This window comes from Homo sapiens, chromosome 13 (assembly GCF_000001405.40).
Source record: "Homo sapiens chromosome 13, GRCh38.p14 Primary Assembly".
Lineage (NCBI taxonomy): Eukaryota > Metazoa > Chordata > Mammalia > Primates > Hominidae > Homo > Homo sapiens.
In genome coordinates this window covers 101,022,563-101,045,455 of record NC_000013.11, presented here as the reverse complement: position 1 = coordinate 101,045,455, position 22,893 = coordinate 101,022,563, and the positions used below count along the sequence as shown (strand labels likewise).

Here is a 22,893-nt window from a genome sequence, read left to right as displayed (position 1 = left end):
CCTAACAAGACAGGTCAACATTCAAATTCAGGAAATATAGAGAACACCAAAAAGATACTCCTCGAGAAGAGCAACCCCAAGACACATAATCATCAGATTTTCCAAGGTTGAAAACAAGGAAAAAGTGTTAAGCACAGCCAGAGAGAAAGGTCAGGTTACCTACAAAGGGAAGCCCATTAGACTAACAGTGGATCTCTCTGCAGAAACCCTACAAGCCAGAAGAGAGTGGGGGCCAATATTCAACATTCTTAAAGAAAAGAATTTTCGACCCATAATTTTATATCCAGCCAAACTAAGCTTCATAAGTTAAGGAGAAAAAAATCCTTTATAGACAAGCAAATGCTGAGGGATTTTGTCAACACCAGGCCTGCCTTACAAGAGTTCCTGAAGGAAGCACTAAACATGGAAAGAAAAAACTGGTACCAGCCACTGCAAAAACAAACCGAAATGTAAAGACCATTGACACTATGAAGAAACTGCATCAACTAATGTGCAAAATAAACAGCTAGCGTCATGATGACAGGAACAAATTCACACATAATGATATTACCTTTAAGTAAATGGACTAAATGCCCCAATTAAAAGACACAGACTGGCAAATTGGATAGAGTCAAGACCCATTGGTGTGCTGTATTTAGGAGACCCAACTCACATGCAAAGACACACATACGCTCAAAATAAAGAGATGGAGGAATAGTTACCAAGCAAATGGAAAGCTAAAAAAATAAAAATAAATAAATAAATAAATAAATAAAAACAGCAGGTGTTGCAATCCTAGTCTCTGATAAAACAGACTTTAAACCAACAAAGATGAAAAAAAGACAAAGAAGGGCATTACATAATGGTAAAGGGATCAATGCAACAAGAAGAGCTAACTTTCCTAAATATATATGTACCCAGTACGGGAGCACCCAGATTCATAAAGCAAGTTCTTAGAGACCTACAAAGAGACTTAGTCTCCAACACAATAATAGTAGGAGACTTTAACACCCCACTGTCAGTATTAGGCAGAACAATGAGACAGAAAATTAACAAGGATATTCAGGACTTAAACTCAGCTCTGGACCAAGCAGACCTAATAGACATCTACAGAACTCTCTACCCCAAATCAATAGAATATACATTCTTCTCTTCACCACGTAGCAGTTATTCTAAAATTGACCACGTAATTGAAAGTAAAACACTCCTCAGCAATTGCAAAAGAATGGAAATCGTAACAAACAGTCTCTCAGACCATAGTGCAATCAAATTAGAACTCAGGATTAAGAAACTCATTCAAAACCACACAACTACATGGAAACTGAACAACCTGCTCCTGAATGACTACTGGGTAAATAACAAAATTGAGGCAGAAATAAATAAGTTCTTTGAAACCAATGAGAATAAAGACACAACATGCCAGAATCTGTGGGACACAGCTAAAGCAGTGTTAAGAGGGAAATTTATAGCACTATAATGCCCACATCAGAAAGCAGGAAAGATCTAAAACCAACACACTAACAGCAGAACTGAAGGAGACAGAGACATGAAAAACCCTTCAAAAAATCAATGAATCCAGGAGCTGGTTTTTTGAAAAGATTAACAAAATAGATAGACTGCTAGCCAGACTAATAAAGAAGAAAAGAGAGAAGAATCAAATAGACACAATAAAAAAATGATAAAGGGAATATCACCACTGATCCCACAGAAATAAAAACTACCATCAGAGACTGCTATGAAAACCTCTATGCAAGTAAACTAGAAAATGTAGAAGAAATGGATAAATTCTTGGATACATACACCCTCCCAAGACTAACCCAGGAAGAAGTTGAATCCCCATATACACTAATAACAAGTTCTGAAATTGAGGCAGTAATTAATAGCCTACGAACCAAAAAAAGCCCAGGACCAGATGGATTCACAGCCAAATTCTACCAGAGGTACAAAGAGGAGTTGGTTCCATTCCTCCTGAAGCTACTCCAAACAATAGGAAAAGAGGGAATCCTCCCTAATTTTATAAGGCCAGCATCATCCTGATACCAAAACCTAGCAGAGACACAACAAAAAAATAAAATTTCAAGCCAATATCCCTGATGAACATCGCTGCGAAAATCCTCAATAAAATACTGGCAAAGCGAATCCAAGAGCACATCAAAAGGCTTATCCACCACGATCAAGTCGGCTTCATCCCTGGGATACAAAGCTGGTTCAAACATATGCAAATCAATAAACATAATCCATCACATAAACAGAACCAATGACAAAAACCACATGATTATCTCAATAGATGCAGAAAAGGCCTTCAATAAAATTCAACATCCCTTCATGCTAAAAACACTCAATAAACTAGGGATTTATGGAACATATGTCAAAATAATGAGGCCTATTTATGACAAACCCACAGCCAATATCATACTGAATGGGCAAAAGCTGGAAGCATTCCCTTTGAAAACTGGCACAAGACAAGGATGCCCTCTCTCACCACTCCTATTCAACATAGTATTGGAAGTTCTGGCTAGGGCAATCAGGCAAGAGAAAGAAAGAGTATTCAGATAGGAAGAGGGGAAGTCAAATTGTCTATTTCCAGATGATGTGATTATATATTTAGAAAACCCCATCATCTCTGCCCAAAATCTCCTTAAGCTGATAAGAACCTTCAGCAAAGTCTCAGGATACAAAATCAATGTGCAAAACCCACAAGCATTCCTAAACACCAATAACAGATGAAAAGAGAGCCAAATCATGAGTGAACTCTCATTCACAATTGCTACAAAGGAAATAAAATACCTAGGAATACAACTTACAAGGGACGCGAAGAACCTCTTCAAGAACTACAAACCACTGCTCAAGGAAATAAGAGAGGACACAAACAAATGGAAAAACATTCCATCCTCATGGATAGGAAGAATCGATATTGTGAAAATGGCCATACTGCCCAAAGTAATTTATAGATTCAGTGCTATTCCCATCAAGCTACCATTGATTTTCTTCACAGAACTAGAAAAAACTACTTTAAATTTTATGTGGAACCAGAAAAGAGCCTGTATAGCCATGACAATCCTAAGCAAAAAGAACAAAGCTGGAGGCATCACACTCCCTGGCTTCAAACTATACTACAAGGCTACAGCAACCAAAACAGCATGGTACTGGTACCAAAACAGATATATAGACCAATGGAACAGAACAAAGGCCACAGAAATAACACCACACATCTACAACCATCTGATCTTCAACAAACCTGACAAAAATAAGCAATGGGGAGAGGATTCCCTATTTAATAAGTGGTGCTGGGGACACTGGCTAAGCATATGCAGAAAACTGAAACTGGACCCCTTCCTTACACCTTATACAAAAATTAACACAAGATTGCCTAAAGATTTAAACATAAAACCTAAAACCATAAAAACCCTAGAAGAAAACCTAGGCAATACCCCTCAGGACATAGGCATGGGCAAAGACTTCATGACAAAAACACCAAAAGCAATGGCAACAAAAGCCAAAATTGACAGATGGGATCTACTTAAACTAAGGAGCTTCTGCATAGTAAAAGAAACTATCATCAGAGTGAACAGGCAACCTACAGAATGGGAGAAATTTTTTGCAATCTCTCCATCTGACAAAGGTCTAACATCCAGAATCTACAAGGAACTTAAACAAATTTACAAGAAAAAAACAACCCCATCAAAAAGTGGGTGAAGGATATGAACAGACACTTCTCTAAAGAAGGCATTTATGCAGCCTACAAACATGAAAAAAAAAGCTCATCACTGGTCGTTAGAGAAATGCAAATCAAAACCGCAGTGAGATACCATCTCATGCCAGTTAGAATGGCAAATATTAAAAAGTCAGGAAACAACAGATGCTGGAGAGGATGTCGAGAAATAGGAAAGCTTTTACACTGTGTCAGTGTAAATTAGTTCAGCCATTGTGGAAGACAGTGTGGCGATTCCTCAAGATCTAGAACCAGAAATACCATTTGACCCAACAATCCCATTACTGGGTATAAACACCCAAAGGATGATAAATCATTCTACTGTAAAGATACATGCACATGTATGTTTATTGCAGTGCTATTCACAATCGCAAAGGCTTGGAACCAACCCAAATGCCCATCAATGATAGACTGGATATAGAAAATATGGCACATATACACCATGGAATACTATGCAGCCATAAAAAAGAATGAATTCATGTCCTTTGCAGGGACATGGATGAATCTGGAAACCATTATTCTCAGCAAACTAACACAGGAACAGAAAACCAAACACCACATGTTTTCACTCATAAGTGAGAGTTGAACAATGAGAACACATGGACACAGAGAAGGGAACATCACACACTGGGGCCTCTCAGGGGATGGGGGACAAGGGGAGGGAGAGCATTAGGACAAATACCTAATGCATGCAGCACTCAAATCCTAGACAATGGGTTGACGGGTGCAGAAAACCACATGGCACATGTATACCTATGTAATAAACCTGCATATTCTGCACATCTATCCCAGAACTTAAAGTTTAATGATGATAAAGAAGAAGAAGAAGAAGAAGGGGAGGAGGAGGAGGAGGATGAGGACGACTAATACACAGGGCATGGTCACATTTTGAGATGTTACTCTAAGAATTGTGGGACATCATTAGAGAATGGCAAGCTAAGAAATGATGGTATCTGATGTATGTTTTAAGAGTATTCTGGCTATGTGTGGAGACTAGACAGTAGAGGCAACACCAGACAGAAGGTGTTGTCCTAACCTACGAGAAATAACAGTGGCTTTAGCCAGCATGGTGGTGGCAGTGGTGAAGAGGGGCAGGATCCTAGATGAATTTATTTCAAAGGCAGGGCCGACAGAGTTGTTGACTGACAATTTGAGAGAAAGAACAAAGTCCAGAGTGACCCCCACCGAAAGAATGAAGTGGACATTTGTTGAGGTGGGCAAGGCTGATTGGAGGTGGGGAACAAAATTAACAATGTCAAATTTGAAATCTCAGGCACCATAAACACAAAACCCAAAGGGAGGAGTCAAATTACCCTTGGCAAATTTCAGAATAAATGCATGGGAAATATTTTCAAGACTCTTGGATCCCTAAGCCAAATCTGGATTATGAAAAGAAGTCAAGCTGTGGAGAGATGGGACGATGGGTTTACAAGTGTGGTTTTTGTTGTGTGTTTTGTCTGTTTGTTTCTAAGAGGGAGCTCTTAGAGAGGTTAGACATACCTCGTTATACCACCTCCCTTTTGGAATTCAGGAAGAGCTGACCAGCATGTAACATCAACACAGACCTTAAGTCTGATAAGAAATATTTACAATCTATTCTCTCTAGAGCCTGCTACCTGGAGGCTTCATCTGCATGATAAAACTTTGGTCTCAGCAACATTTTATCATAACTCAGACATTTCTTTCTATTGATAGTAAGTCTTTCAACCAATTGCCAATCAGAAAATGTTTAAATCTACCTATAACTTGGAAGCTGCCCCGCCACCACCCCCCTGCCACTTCAGGTTGTACCACCTTTCTGAATCGAACCAATGTATATCTTAAATGTATTTGATTGATGTCTTGTGTCTCCCTAAAGTGTATAAAACCAAGCTGTGCCCCAACTACCTTGGGTACATGTTCTCAGGGTCTCCTGAGGGCTGTCATGAGCCATGGTCACTCATATTTGGCTCAGAATAAATCTCTTCAAATATTTTACAGAATTTGACTCTCTTCATTGACACTATACTCTGATCCCAAAAGCTAGTGACCAAATTGAAGTGGCAAAACTATTTCAATGCCACCCTTAAACTATGCTTCCCTGACTGCCTGCTTTCTACATTGGACCAGTTTACCTGATTTAAATTTTGTACTGTAGTCTCTTGGTGGAAAAGACCCATGCTGTCATTGAAACCAGCAACCGTATTCTATTATTTTGCCCCAATGCTCTATGTTACCCATTCAACTTAAAAATCCCCCACAGTATGCCTAGTAAATACCTAAATTCCATTTGAATGCTAGAGAGCTGGTATCCCAACTCTTGAATTAAGCTATGGATGGTTTATTTAGAGGCAGATTTGAGGTTATTTCTCATTCTCCCTTCACAGGCAGTGGTTCAATGTCAATGTCAATTTTTAAGGCTTGGTTACAGATCAACTAACCTACAAGAGGAATTATGTAGTTTCATTGTGTTCCTTTCTCAAATTGGTATTTGTCACTCCATTTCCTGTATGATGTGGATGGTAACCCCCAAATAACACTAAGTGGAAACACTTGTTTTGTTGCAGCCTTCCTAGCAGTGTTCCTAATGCCTGACCACTGCGATGTTTAGCATTTAAATGAGATTAAACCTCTCTGTGGGTGCAGAAATGAACTAAGGCCCATGGGTTCTCTGCAAACAAATACATATTAAAAGATGATAATTTTGCATTCTAAACCATGTCAAAACCATCTAAAATATTAAATTAGCAACTTGACCAAGGACTGCCAGGAAAAACAGTTTCCAGAAGTGTTCTTTTTTTTTTTTTTTTTGAGACAGAGTCTTGCTCTGTCGCCCAGGCTGGAGTGCAATGATGCGATCTTGGCTCACTGCAAGTTCTGCCTCCTGGGTTCACGCCATTCTCCTGCCTCAGCCTCCTGAATAGCTGGGACTACAGGTGTCCGCCACCACACCTGGCTAATTTTTTTGTATTTTTAGTAGAGATGGGGTTTCACCGTGTTAGCCAGGATGGTCTTGATCTCCTGACCTCGTGATCCGCCCACCTCGGCCTCCCAAAGTGCTGGGATTACAGGCTTCAGCCACCACGCCCAGTCCCCAGAAAAGTCTTCTTTAGCTAAGATTCCAAGGAAAAGTGTTGAGCACATAAATTACACCAAGGCAAAGAGTTGAGCGAATAATTACACAGGGAAGTGTTGCTTTTTTGTTTGAATTATCTGCATACTTTCAGGCACTCTTTAACTTTGAAGACAGAAAATAATAAAAGTAGGTAACACTCTTGGAGCATAATAGTAGGTTGGAAAGATTAAGATAAGGATAGAGGACAGGGGAACAGGGAGATGGGAGGAAAAAAATAGCCTCTATTCTATCCTCTTTTCTGGGCAATAGATCATGCTATCTCATGTTTGCAGGTAATAAGGCTAGTGTTGGCCAATGAGTGTGGTCAAGGAGGACAGATCATCTACAATAGACAGAATGATTGTGTTAATCAGGGTTATCCAGAAAAACAGAGCCAGTAGGATATATAGGAGAGATTTATGTTAAGGAATTGACTCATGTCATTATGGGGGATGATGACAAGTCCAAAATCTGTAGGGCAAGGCAGCCTACTGGAATTTCAGGCACAAGATGATGTTGCAGTCTTGAGTCCAAAATCTGCAGGCTGAGAGTCTCTATGTTAAAAGTCTTGAGGCAGAATTTCTTCTTCCAGAAACCTCAATCATTCTCGTAAGTCCTTCAGCTAACTGGATGAGGGCCACTCACATTATGGACGGTAATCAACTTTACTCAAAGCTTATGGATTTAAATGTTAATCACCTTCACAGCAACATCCAGCTAGCATTTGATAAAACAATTGGGCACCATAGCCTAGCCAAATGGACATGTAAAATTAACTATCACAATGACTATCACTTTCTTAGTCATAGTTGTTGGTTACTATAACCTTAGATCACTGTGTGCCCATGGAATCCAACCAGTTGTCTTTTGTCCTCAGAATAAAAAGCAAATAATTCTGATTTTATTCACTCACCTTCTTGCATTTCTTCTCTGCAAGGAAGCTGGGAAAGGAGATTGAGGAAGAGAGATGTTTAATGTGACTTTGTTTTAACATGTGTATTTGTGGTCAAGTGCTAATCTGAATTCACGAGCCTGTGTCAACGAATTTGAAGATGCATCGCCTACCACAAGGCACCTTCTTGACCTCCTCTGTCTTATGGGTCTTGGGAGCATTAGCACATTCATCTTAGGATAGATCAGACTCGAAGCATTGTCTTCTCTTTCACAATCTGCATATTTTATATTAGAAACATCACGCAGGGACCAACCCAGGGTAACACTGGAAGCGCAACAACAAAACAGTCAGCTAGGGAGCATCAGGCTGACAACAGATTGATAATGTATTTCACATATAGCAGGGAAAGCTGTCACACTGAGCCCAATTCCCTTCTCTGACACCAGGGAGCACTTAGTGGTGGGTTCTCCAAGACACAGAGAGAAAGCCTCTTTCTGTTCCTGTTTGAGCTGTGAGACGTGTACGGAAAGGAGTCCTCACTCTTTTGACACCATCCATGAGATTTGCAGTTTAACTGAAACACTGCTTATGAATTCTTTGCAAGGGGCGCGTTGGTCTCTTCTCACAAATCGTCTCTTTCTGGCCTTTGTTTGGGGCACCATACAGCCATCTCAAAAAGCCCGCCCTTGCCTCTGTGACACCGGATGCTCCTGGTACTTATCCTTCCTGTAGTCATCACTGGTTGCACAAGAATGCCTCATTTCTGTGTTCTACTAGCCTAGCTTCAGAACCAAACCCATGTAGCGTGTCAAATCAGGTGTCCTTTTTGACTCACTCATTTTTTTTTTCCAGGGCAATGGAAAGGGGCCTTGCTTAGGGCCAGGTCAAGAGATAATTGGGAATTTTGCAAAGCCCTAATGAGCACAGCCTGAAGGTCCCGACTGTGTTCACACTTCCAACAGCCACTATGTGTCGACACGTCACACAACCAGCCCTGATTCTCCCATCCCGAGGTCTCCCAGCCCAGGCAGGGCCTCCACACCCCTCTGCAATTCCCTCACACCCTTGTCTAACTGTTAATTAGATGCCTCATTTCTTGGCATGTGTATGGGCTTGAGCCATCTGCTTATTGATCACATCCTTCAGAATATATTGGATTTTAAGGAACCCAGCCACAAAGCAGGTTATGTTGCAGGTGGCTCATTGAGATTTCTCCAGAGCAAACTCAAGAGTGTATAGTGTGTGGTGACCTGTAGCCAGGCACATGAATCAACACGGTATAGACATACTGCCTGCAAAGCTCAGAGACCGTCATCTTTATAAATTGATGCAAAAACAACACTCAAAATTCCTACCTGAAATCCTTCCACAATATTTGGTATCGCACAAAATAAAAATATATAAAGTAGGCAAACAAGGTACACACTTACTGAGACCTCTATTACAGTACTAAAGACTAAATAGTGGATTGCCTAGCTTACAGACAATCCAGAAGCTCAATCCTCCAGGCCAGGTCATGTGTCTGAATCCTCCACCAGACCTTAGAGAGCTGTTAGGAGCAGGGACGTCTGTCCATATCTGTGCCTCTAGCCTCTCTAAACTGCATGTTGGAACATGTGTGATTCTTGTTGCTGCTCTTTAAACAGAAAACGGTGGAAATGCTTTGGATCTTTTAAACTCACTTCTGCATAAGAATGTCTGATATCCGTGGCATTCATCATAAACAAAACAACAACCATTGGAAAGATTTCTCATTTTTTCATCCTGAATTCCTGTTTCATTCCTCCCTTTAACTTGCTCCTTTTTGGATCACAGCAACTTTTCTGGGTTAAGGTAAACCACCAGCATAAACAAAACAACATAAACTTTCCTGGAGAACATTTGGGATTATTCTTCAATTAATTAAAGTATCTCAGGACCCCTCCAAAATTCTTATGCAAAAGGGAAGATCACTGCAACACCTTCTCCCAAATGAATACCTGTTACCAGCATTACGCATTAGGCGGGTCCTCAGAGAGAGGTAAAAGGCCTCAGGTGAGGTGGAGGTGGAGCAAGATGGCAAAATAGAAGACTCCACCCATCATCCTCCCTTCAAGGACACCAATTTACACACACACACACACACACACACACACACACACACACACACACAACCTTCATCAGAACCAAAAATCAGGTGAGCCCTCATAGTACCTGGTTTTAACTTCAGAGGCAGGAAAAACCGTTGTGATGTGGTGTGGAGAGCATCTCTAGGCACTAGAGGAGGGAGAGCACAGCAATTGTGAAGCACTGAACTCAGTGCTGTCCTGTTAGAGCAGAAAGGAAAACCGAAAGGACCTAACTCAGCTCACTCTCACCCACAGAGGGAACATTTAAACCAGCCCTAGCCAGAAAGGATCACAGATCCCAGCCGTGCAAACTTGAGTTTCTGCAAACCTCACCACTGAGGGCTACAGCGCTCTGTATCTCCAAGTAAACTTGAAAAGCAGTCTAGGCCACAGGAACTGCAACTCTTAGGCAAGAGCTACTGCTGAACCAGGCCCAGAGACAGTGGACTGGGGATGGGCGACATACTGAGACACAAGCTGGGGAAGACAAGGGAGTACTGGCATCGCCCCTCCCCTAACCCCAGGCTGCACAGCTTGTGGCTCCAAAAGAGACCCCTTCCTTCTGCTTGAGGAGAGGAGAGGGAAGGGTGGGGAGGACTTTGTCTTGTATCTTGGATACCGGCTAAGCCACAGCAGGATAGGATACCAGTCACAGTTGTGAGGGCTTTGATCCAGGACCTGGCGCCTGGATGACATTTCTAGACACATCCCGGGCCAGAAGGGAACCTGCTGTCTTGAAGGGAAGAACTCAGTCCTGCCAGCACTCAACACCTTCTAACTGAAGAGCCCGTGGGCCCTGAATAAACAGCAGCAATACCCAGGAACTATGTTGAGGGCCTTGGTGAGCCTCTGAGACTTGCTGGCTTCAGGTGAGACTCGGCACATTCCCAGCTATGGTAGCTCTAGTAAGAGAGTCCTTCTGCTTGAGAAAAGCAGAAGGAAAAGTAAAGGGGACTTTGTCCTTCACCTTAGGTGCTGGTTTGGCCACAGAAGGGTAGAGCACCAAGTGGGCTCCTGGGGTCCCTTATTCCAGAACTTGACTCTTGGATGGCATTTCTGGACCTGCCTGTGTCCAGAAGGGAGCCCACTACCCTGAAGGGTGAGTCCCAGGCCAGGCAGCATTCACCACAAGCTGACTGAAGAGCTCTTGGGTCTTAAGGGATCATCGGCAGTAGTCTGGCAGTACTCCCTGTGACCTGTGGTGGCAGGGACTTCAGGGTGAGGCTCCTTTGCCTTTGGAAAGGGGAAGGAAGAGCAGGAAGGACTGTGTCTTGTGGTTTGAGTGCCAGCTCAGCTGCAATACAGTAGAACACCAAGTAGACTTCTAAGGTTTTTGACTGTAGTCCCTGACTCCCAGATGGCACCTCTAGACCCTCCAGGGGCCTGGGCAAACTTGCTGCCCTGAAGGAAAAGACAAAGGCCTGGTTGGCTTTGCCATCTGCTTACTCTAAAGCCCAAGGGCCTTGAGTGAACATAGGCAGTGGCCAGAGAGAGGTTACAGCAGACCTTGGGTGAGACCCAGTGCTGTGCTGGCTTCAGTTCAACCAAGTGCCGTCATAATGATGGTAGCCACAGGGGTGCTTGTGTCACTTCACCTCCAGCTTTAGGTGGCTCAGAACAGAGATAGAGAGACCCTGTTTGTTTGGGAGGAAGTAAGGGAAGAGAACAAGAGTCTCTGCCTGGTAATCTAGAGAATTCTCCTCGATCTTGTCCACGACCATCAATACCAAGAGATACCAGATGGTATATCTCTGCTAGTCTGCAAGAACCACAGTGTTACTGGGCTTGGGTGCCCCCTAAAGCAGATACAGCTTATATCACAACACGCTAGTTCTTTAAGTATCTGGAGCCTTCCCAAGAAGGATGGGTACAAACAAGCCCAGACAGTGAAGACAACAATAAATACCTAACTCTTCAATGCCCAGACACCGAAGAACATCTAGCATCAGCACCATCCAGGAAATCATGACCTTATCAAATGAACTAAATAAGGCACCAGGGACCAATCCTAATGAAACAGAGATATGTGACCTTTTAGACAGAGAATTCAAAATAGCTATATTGAGGAAACTCAAAGAAATTCAAGATAACACAGAGAAGGAATTCAGAATTCTATCAGGGAAATTTAACAGAGACTGAAGTAATTAAAAAGAATCAAGCAGAAATTCTGGAGCTGAAAAATGCAACTGGCATACTGAAGAATGCATCAGAGTCTTTTAATAGCAGAACTGATCAAGCAGAAGAAAGAATTAGTGAGCCTGAAGATAGGCTGTTTGAAAATACACAGCCAGAGGAGACAAAAGAAAAAAGAATAAAATACAATTAAGCACACCTACAGGATTTATAAAATAGCCTCAAAAGGGAACATCTGAGAGTTATTGACCTTAAAGAAGAGGCAGAGAAAGACATAGGGGCAGAAAGTTTATTTAAAGGGATATCAGAGAATTTCCCAAACCTAGAGAGAGATATCAATATCCAAGTACAAGAAAGTTATAGAACACCAAGCAGATTTAACCCGAAGAAGACCACTTCAAGGCATTTAATAATCAAATTCAGGATAAAGATCAAGGATAAAGGATCCTAAAAGCAACAAGAGAAAAGGAACAATTAACATACAACGAAGCACCAATGCTTCTGGCAGCAGACTTTTCAATGGAAATCTTACAGGCCAGGAGAGAGTAGCATGACATATTTAAAGTGCTGAAAGAAGAAAATGTACACCCCAGAACAGTATATCTGGCAAAAAATACCCCTCAAACATGAAAGAGAAATAAAGACTTTCCCAGACAAACAAAAGCTGAGGATTTCATCAACACTAGACCTGTCCTACAAGAAATGCTAAAGGGAGTACTTCAATCAGAAAGAAAAGGGTGTTAATGAACAATAAGTAATCACCTGAAGATACAAAACTCACTGTTAATGGTAAGTATACAAACACAGACTATTACAACACTGTAACTGTGGTGTGTAAACTACTTTTATTCTAAGTAGAAAGACTAAATGATGAACCAGTCAAAAATAGTAACTAGAACAACTTTTCAAGACATAGACAGTATAAGAAAATGTAAATAGATAAAACAAAACGTTAAAAAGTGGGGGGATGAAGTTAAGATGTAGAATGTTGGCCAGGTATTGTGGCTTATGCCTATAAACCCAGCACTTTGGGAGGCTGAGGCAGGCGGATCACTTGAGGTCAGGAGTTCGAGACCAGACTGGCCAATATGGTGAAACCCCATCTCTACTAAAAACACAAAAATCAGCTGGGCATGCTGGCACATGACTATAATCTCCACTACTTGGGAGACTGAAGTATGAGAATCACTTGAATATGGAGGCAGAAAGAGCCGTGAGCTGAGATTGCACCACTGCACTCCAGCCTGGGCAACAGAGCAAAGACACTGTCTCAAAAAAAAAAAAAAATGTGTAGAGTGTTTATTAGTTATCTTTTTGCTTGTTTATTTATGCAAACAGTGGTTAAGTTGCTATTGGGTTACAATCACGGGTTATAAGCTAGTATTTGCAGGCCTCATGGTAACTTCAAACCAAAAAACATACAATGGATACACAAAAAAGGAAAAGCAAGAAACTAAATCATATCACCAGAGAAAATCACCTTCAGTTAATTGAATACAGGAAGAAAAAGAGAGAAGGAAGAGAAGACCACAAAACAACCAGAAAACAATAACAAAATGGCAGGAGGAAGTCTTTACTTATCAATAATAACATTGAATATAAATGGACTAAACTCCCAAATTAAAAGGCATAGCCTGGCTAAATGAATGAAAAAAGCAAGACCTGCTGATATCTTGCCTATAGGAAACACACCACCTATAAAGACACACACAGACTGAAAATAAAGGGATGGAAAAATATCAAATTTGTCTGATATAAGCAGGAGTCACTATATTTTCAGACAAAATAGATTTTTGAGACAAAATCTATAAGAAATGACAAACAAGGTCACTATATAATGATTAAAGGGCCAATTCAGCAAGATAATATATGAATAACAATTTTAGATATATATGTCCCCAACACTGGAGCATCCAGATGTATAAGGCAAATGTCAGAGCTAAAGAGAAAGATAGACTCTAATACGAGAATAGCTGGAGACTTCAACACCCCACTTTCAGCATTGGACAGATCTTTTAGACAGAAAATCAACCAAGAATCATCCGACTTAATCTTCACTATAGGCCAAATGGATCTAATAGATATTTATAGAACATTTCATCCAATGGCTGCAGAATATACATTCTTTTCCTCAGTGCAAGGATCATTCTCAAGCGTAGACCATACATTAGGTGAAAAACAAATCTTAAAACATTCAAAAAATTAAAATAATTCCAAGCATCTTCTCTGACCACAATGGAATAAAACTAGAAATCAATAACATGAGGAATTTTGGGAAGTACACAAACACATGGAAATTAAGCAATATGCTCCTGAATGACTAGTGGATCAATGGAGAAATTAAGAGGGAAATTGAAAAATGTCTTGAAACAGATGTTAATGGAAACAACATACCAAAACCTATGGGATACAGCAAAAGCAGTACTAAGATGAAGTTTATATCTACAAATGCTTACATCAAAAAAGGGGAAATCCTTCAAATAAGTGATCTAATGATGCATCTTAAAGAAATAGAAAAACAAGAGCACACCAAACTCAAAATTAGTAAAAGAAAAGTAATAAAGATCAGAGCAGAAATAAGTGAAATTGAAATGAAAAAAAATAATAAAAAGGATCAATAAAACAAAAAGGTTCTTTTTATAGTTAAACACAATTGACAAACCTTTTAGTCAAACTAATTTAAAAAATAGAGGTACAAAAACATAAAATCAGAAATGAAATAGGAGACTTCACAACTGATACTGCAAAAATTCAAAGGATCATTAGTGGCTACTATAAGCAACTATAGGCCAATAAATTGGAATTTCTCCAAGAAATGGACAAATTTCTAGACACATAAAACCTACCAAGCTTGTGCCAGTAAGAAATTCAAAACCTAAACAAACCAATAACAAGTAATGAGATCAAATAAAAATTCTCTCAGTAAAGAAAAGCCCAGGACCCAATGGCTTTACTGCTGAATTCTACCAAACATTTAAGGAAGAACTAATACTAATCCTACTCAAACCATTTTGAAAAATAGAGGAGAAGTGAATACTTCCAAATTCATTCTATAATGCAAAACCAGACAAAGACACTCAAAAAAAGAAAACCACAGGCCAAAATCTCTGGCCTTTAAGTCCTCAACAAAATACTAGCAAACTGAATTCAACAACACATTAGAAAGATCATTCATCATAACCAAGTGGGATTTATCCCTGGGAGGCAAGAATTTTTCAACATATGTATATTAATCAACATGATACATCATGTCAACAGAATAAAGGATAAAGGATAAAACAGAATAAAGGATATAAGGATCTTTTGAATTGATGCCAAAAAAGCATTCAATAAAATTCAACATCATTTCATGATAAGAAACCCTAAAAAAACTGGGTGTAGAAGAAACACACCTCAACATAATAAAAGCCATATATGACAGACCCACAGCTTGTATCATATTGAATGGGGAAAAACTGAAAGCTTTTTTCTAAGATATGGAACATGACCATGACAAGGATGCCCACTTTCACTAGTATTATCCAACATACTACTGGAATTCCTAGCTAAAGCAATCAGAAGAAAGAAATAAATGGCATCCAAATTGGAAAGAAAGAAGTGAAATTCTCCTTGTTTGCAAATGATATGATCTTATATTTGGAAAAACCTAAAGACTCCACCAAAAAACTATTAAAACTGATAAACAAATTTAGTAAAGTTGCAGGATATAAAATCAACGTACAGAAATCATTAGCATTCCTGTATACCAACAGTGAACAACCTGAAAAAGAAATTTTTGTAAATCCCATTTACAAAAGCCAAAAGTAAAATTAAAAACCTAGGAATTAACCTAAAGAAGCAACAGATCTCTATAATGAAACAACAAAACACTGATGAAAGAAACTGAAGACAACACCAAAAAAACGGAAAGATATTCCATGTTCATAAATTGGAAGAATCAATATTATTAAACTGTCCATACTACCCAAATCAATCTACAGATTCAATGCAATACCTGTCAAAATACCACTGAACTTCTTTAGAGAAATAGAAAAAACAATCCTAAAATTTATGTGGAACCACAAAACACCCAGAATAGCCAAAGCTGTCCTAAGCAAATAGAACAAAACTGGAAGAATCACATTACCTGACTTCAAATTATACTGCAGAACCATAGTAACCAAAATAGCATGGTACTGGCATTAAAACAGACACATAGACCAATGAAACAGAATAGAAAACACAGAAATAAATCCACACACCTACAATATGTGAATTTTCAATAAAGGTGCCAAGAACATACACTGGGGAAAAGACAGTTTCTTCAATAAATGGTTCTGGGGAAACTGGATATTCATATGCAGGATAAAACTAGACCCCTATCTCTGGTCATATACAAAAATTAAATCAAAATGAATTAAAGACTTAAATCTAAGACCTCAAACTATGAAATTACTACAAGAAAACATAGAAAAAACTCTCCAGGACATTGGTTTGGGTAAAAATTTCTTGAGTAATACCCAGCAAGCAAGGCAACCAAAGCAGAAGTGGACAAATGGGATTACATTAAGGTAAAAACCTTCTGCACAGCAAAGGAAACAATCAACAAAGTGAGGAGGCAACCTACATAATGGGAGAAAATATTTGCAAACTACCGATCTGACAAGGGATTTATAAGCGCCATATATAAAGAACTCAAACAACTCTATAGGAAAAAGTCTAATAATCTGATCAAAAAACTGGACATAAGATTTGAATAGAGGTTTCTCAGAAGAAGACATGCAAATGGCAAACAGGCATACAAAAAAGTGCTCAACATCATTGATCATCAGAGAAATGCAAAACAAAACTACCATGAGATATCATCTCACCCCAGTTAAAATGGCTTATATCCAAAAGACAGGCAGTAACAAATGCTGGCGAGGATGTGGAGGAAAGGGAACACTCCTACACTGTTAGTTGGAATATAAATTAGTACAACCACAATGGAGAACAGTTTGAAAGTTCCTCAAAAAACTAAAAATAGAGCTACCATATGGTCCAGCAATCCCACTGTTGGGTATACACCCAAAACAAAGGAAATCAGTATATGCAAGAGATTTCTGCACTCTCATGTTTGTTGCAGCCCTGTTCACAATAGCTAAGATTTGGAAGCAACCTGTGTCCATCAACACATGAATGGATAAAGAAAATGTGCTACATATACACAATGGAGCACTATTCAGTCTTAAAAGAGAATGAGATCCTGACATTTGCAGCAACATGGATGGAACTGGCGAACATTCTATCAAGTGAAATAAGCCAGGCACAGAATGACAAACATTGGCAATAAGGTGATTATAGTCAATAATAACTTAATTGTTCATTTTAAAATAAGTAAAAAAGTGTAATCAGATTGTTCATAAAAGAAAGGATAAATGCTTGAGGGGATGGATACCTCATTGTCCATGACATGATTATTACACATTGCATGCCCGTATCAAAACATCTCATGTACTCCATAAATATATGCTCCTATTTTGTACCCCCCGCTCACCCCAAGAAAAAGGACTCAGGCATCAGGAAAGGACAGTCCTCACAGATCATTCCTAAGTACATTCTTCACTGGCATCCCATCAACAGAACCACCAGTTATAACTGTAGGTCTACAAACTAAGCCTAGCTCCTAAAACTAAAGTTTGTTGATTCCACACTGATGTCATGAAGAACTTCCTCCCAGGTGCAGAACAAAGACATAAGTAAAATGGACTATTCCTTTACTCTCTTTCTCTCTTCATTTGCCTTATCTTATGTAAAATGTAGTATTTGCCAACTGCCTACCTGCCCCTCTTTCCACATGCCTTTTCCCTCTAAGGAAATGTATAAATACTAAATCTCCCAAAAACCTCTTTGGAAAAACAACCCCAGATGTATTTGTGGCTCATGTTTTTTCCAGACGCACCCTAAGTAGTTTAATAAACCTTGATGATTGACGCTACACCTCAGTCACTCATTCCAGTTGTCACTGAATTCTGGTTCCATTCCTCCCTTTAATTCCCTCTTTGAGGATCACAGACAACTGTTCTCTGATTAAGGTAAGACACCAGAGTACACAAAATAATGAACTTTCCTGGAGCACCTTTGGGATTGTTCTTCATTTCTCGCCAAAGAGCTTTCTTCCAGAGATTCTGGCAGGATGCAAGGTTGCAAGAACACAGAGAGCAGCCATGGGAACCAAGCCTGCAATAAGCAAGGCCTGGAGTGGGGGCCACAATGCAACCCTGACCGCTGGCAGGGATGGCTATCAGGCCCTGTGGGTAACCATAGCTGGGTGGCTGGCTGGATGAGTGACAGGAAGCCACCTCTGATCTTTACCCTGTGCCCTGTGTCAGATAAAACAAATCCCAAGTTAAGTAAGGAAGAGCTTTCTTAGAAAAGACTATTGCAATATTTGATGAAAGTTTAGCATTTGGGGCCAGGCACAAGTTAAGTAAGGAAGAGCTTTCTTAGAAAAGACTATTGCAATATCTTGATGAAAGTTTAGCATTTCGGGCCAGGCACTGTGGCTCACACTTGTAATCCCAGCACTGTGGGAGGCTGAGGCAGCAGATCACCTCAGGTCAGGAGTTTGTAACAAGCCTGGCCAACATGATGAAACCCTGTCTCTACTAAACAAACAAAATTAGCCGGGTGTGGTGGCACATGCCTGTAATCCCAGCTATTCTAGAGGCTGAGGCAGGAGAATTGCTTGAACCCGGGAGGCAGAGGTTGCACTGAGCCCAGATGGCACCACTGCACTCACTCCAGCCTGGGTGACAAGAGTGAAACTCCATCTGGGTGGGGTGGGATGGGAAAAAAAAAAAAAAGAAAGAAAGTTTGGCATTTCGAACTTTTAAACAGGTCAAGTTAGCAAGTACCTTGTCTAGATTAGTCAGTAGATACAAACAGTTCAACTGATTACATATAAGGCAAAGAATGGGAGTTTGGAGGATCTGGCACTGTGTCTGGTTCTGTCATAGGTAAACAAGGAGGTCACCTGTGAGGGTTTTGTAAGTTTTTATAGGGAAGGGCCAGTCGTTGTGGCCGGCCATTTCCTGGAACGCAGAAAAGTTTCCTGACCATGGCTTAGGTAAAGCTGAACGTTGTCAGACCTCCCAGAAGTGGATTCATCTCTCAGGACTTCCTTTTCTCTTCTGTAAAAGGAGATTAGTAATAATTGCTTGCTTTACGCACCTCATGTTGAGATTATGAGGATCAAATGAGATCCTGTTTGTGAAAGTATTTTACAGCCTGTAAGGCATCCTATTAATAATGTCAGCTGTTGTTATTATCTGTGATAGTGGCTATTCAGCTCTCTTGTTCACAACGGGTGAAGGGGTGAACAGGTTCCAGAGGTCACCCTGGCTGACATTATGGTCTTAAAATCTCCAGACTTCCTGGCCGGAGGCCATGAGTTAGCTGTGGCAGCGGTGGGGCCTCCTCGTGGCTCCTCAGTAAACCTTGAGATGAGGCGTGACTTCCCCTCAGAGCCCATTTCCCGGTCTGCAAAATCCAGCTAAAGAGGTTGCCCTGGGTGTGTAATGGAGCCACAACAAAGTATTTTGTCAGCCCAAGGAGCTACTCAGCTGCTTACGCAGAGGCGCAGGACCTCACAGAAGGCATCTTCCACACACGGAGACAGACAAAACAAGCACCTGCGACGGGCTTTACATCCTCAGAGGGCTGAGCTCCTAAATGACTTTTCTTTCAAAGGGCTGCACGGCTCAAGTCAGAGATTCAGACCACTGTTGTTCAGAGGTAGGAGACCGGGAGCACCTTGCAGCGGGTGTGGCATTGGCGTGGCCGCAGGAGAAGTGTGAATAATGCTTTGGTCAGCAAACCAAATAAAGATGCCTGGGGAGAAAAGCTTTTTCAGAAACCCAGGGAAGAAAATCAATATTCCTGGAAAGGAGAGAGGGGGAAATCTATAGAAAGGGAAAGGAGTGGTATGTAATGCAATTCGAAGATTTTCTTTTTCTACCCTCAAGCAATTGACTCAATAGAGAGCAAAACCTGAAACCCTCTGATTAGAAAGGTGAAGGTTTCACTAGAAGAACCAGCTGGCTCTCATATTGACTGGCCAGTGGTTGACTGGGTCACTGCTGGTGTCTGGGCCTGTTTTTCTTTTTTTGTTGTTGTTTTTTGTTTGTTTGTTTTGTTTTTGTTTTCTGATTTATAAGAGTAGAGCTGATATGAATCTTCCAAAAATCAGACATTGAGTTCAGATTTGAAAAGAATGCTATGTCAGTTTTTAAGTTATTCTCTCTGCTATAAATAAAATCCAAATAAATATAATTTCTGCATTTGACTTCATAAGTGAATACAGGAAACTGCTTTTCAACAGGGTCTTGAGCACTAATTTGCAGCCTTCAGAAGCAATTTCATCAGAAATATTCTAGAAAGAATATCCATTTTTGCATTTGTTTAAGTGATTGTGATGGAGATATGGATGGCCTTCCTTAAATGATCAGATTTAGAATATGAATTCATCATTATTATATTATTGATGTTGGGGGTCAGGTCTTTATTACCTTTGCATGCCCACTACTATGAATATATTCATTCATTTTCAGATAGTGAAAGTGGCATCACTGTTTGTCACACAGACTACCGACCACTCTGGCCCACCTGTTTCTCCATCAATATACACATTGTTCTAACAACTGGTTCTCCATCACATATATGACTGAAAATGACCAAATATCTTCAAACAAATACAAAGAGTACACAATGACTTACTTTACCAGATCCGCCTCATATCTGCCTTGTCCTTCTGCCCGTGAGACCCAGGAATCCATGGAAATGATGGACAGATAATGTTTTCTGTCAAACACGTGAGAAATATTCTCCTAGGAAAGACTGTATTAGAAATGACAGATTGAATGGTGACTGTCGTCAACACCGTTGACTATTAAAATGACCCATCTCATGAAAAACAAAAGAATAAAGCTCCTGGCTAAATGAACAAAATGTAACAGTTCTATGTTTGTAACCTGGTCCTGTTTATCATTCCTCATCTCTTCAAATCAACTGAATATGACAGAGGCAAAAGTTAGCCAAGGGAACAATAGCTTTTAACTCTGATTTCACTTTGATGTGTTTGTTCACCAACCAGGAGCCCTGGGGGTTAACCTTTCTCTTGTAGTCATTGATCCTTTAAGATCTGAAGGCTTTTAATAAAATTGAGCTGACCAAGGCCTAATTTTTTTGATAATTTGTTTAAATCATAGACTGCCTCTCAGATTGTAATGAAACCCCTTACATCTATAAATGATGACAAGGAAACAGCCCAAGATATTGAATTTCCAGCTGTTTTTTATTTGAACAACTGACTGGGCCATTTTTTAAGCATAAAATAACTTCTAAACTGGCAATGTAAGGATACTTTCTCACTAGATATGACTTTTGCACCATATGGAGAAGAAAAAATGATTACATTATTAGGGGACTCATGAGAGACATGCCCTATATACCAGAATCCTAGTTGGCCATGCCAAGAAAACCCCAACCAGTAGATATCATCCTGCCCTCTGAAAGAATCTTAGCTTTGTAATTATAGTTCATTCAGGTCACATTGGTTTCTTTGCTTTTGAAACAAAAAGAGAATGAACTGAAAGATAGTCACTAGAAGGAGGATGGTTTTATGATTCTCCTTAAGCTTCATCCATGGGAGCAGGCTAACTTTCTTATCACAAATGTGAGTTGCATCCACATGATTTGCCAATATTTCCTGTCATTTCTCCAAAGTAAGGTCATGATTGACTTGTAATTCAGTAAAAAGTGTTTGTTTTGTGAATTGGTTGTTTTCTAAATTACATTTAAAAATTGAATGACTGTCTTCTTTAAGAACAATAATTTTTAAGACCTGAATGGAGTACTTCTCTGAATTTCAGCAGAGTTTTTCCTTCAATTAGCGTAACAGGTGGGTCTATTTTTCTGTGCAGGGCCCACTGCAGGATTCAGACATTTGCATCCTATCTACAACTACTCTGCTAGTTTCTTTTATTCTATCCTGGTAAATTTGTTTTCTAATTAGACAACAAGAATGATCTAAATAAGAAATTATAAAATTGTGGTAATATAAAAGGAAAAGTATGAAATTTGGAATCAGGAGACCCATTCTTCAGTCCTGAATTTTCTATATTCTGCTTATAGGCCCTTGAACAAATAATTAAACATTCTCAATCCCCCATAAAAAGAATAATAATACCTAATAAAGGTCTTTTATGAGACCAAACAATAAAATCAATGTGAAAGCTCTTTGATAACTATAAATTTCTCTGAACAAAGAACACCTTTGTTCTTACCACAGAGAAACAAATTGGTAAAATAATGTTCATATAAGCCTTAGGATCAGACACACCTAGATTCAAAATCTGACTCTAAGACTGACGTGTAAGTGGCATGGTACATTGAGGTAGACAGAATTCTTAAATGTCCCCCAAGACCTTCAGCCCTAATGCCAGTGACTGGGAATATACGAGATAACACATCTATGGAAAAAGGAATTTTACAGATGTTATTAAGGTTACTAATCCATCAACCTTGAATTAGTAAAATTGGCGATTATGGAGGTGAGTTTAATATAATCACACGAGCTCTTTAAAAGCAAGTTTTCACTAGCTAGTAGCGGAAGGAGGAGTCAGAGAGGTTGGAAGCATGAGGAGGATATGATGAATGGTTGCTATCTTTGAACATAATGTAAAAGTTAAAAGGAACTCAAAGAGACATCTAGAAGCAGAAGGCAACCCCTGGCCAACAGCTCACAAGAAAACAGCAACCTCAGTCCTACAACTGCAAGAAGCTTGATTCTGCCAAAAACGTAATTGAGCTTAGAAGTGGATTCCTTCCCCAAGCCTGAGTTAAGAGCCTAACACAGCAATACCCTGCTCTGGGCCTGTGAGATCCTGAGCAGAGAACCCACTTGAGCCTCCCCAGACTGCCAATCCACAGAACTGTGAGAAAATAAATGAGT

At 39.9% G+C, this 22,893-nt stretch overlaps 1 long non-coding RNA gene across 1 annotated transcript in view; it reads right to left on the bottom strand.

Annotated features, from left to right (window-relative positions):
• NALCN-AS1 (NALCN antisense RNA 1) overlaps positions 1-22,893 on the bottom strand; it is a 350,962-nt gene that overhangs the window by 13,831 nt on the left and 314,238 nt on the right. The window contains exon 4 of the long non-coding RNA NR_047687.1: positions 20,658-20,777. This is a non-coding gene — a long non-coding RNA (NALCN antisense RNA 1). The remainder of the gene's footprint in view (positions 1-20,657; positions 20,778-22,893) is intronic.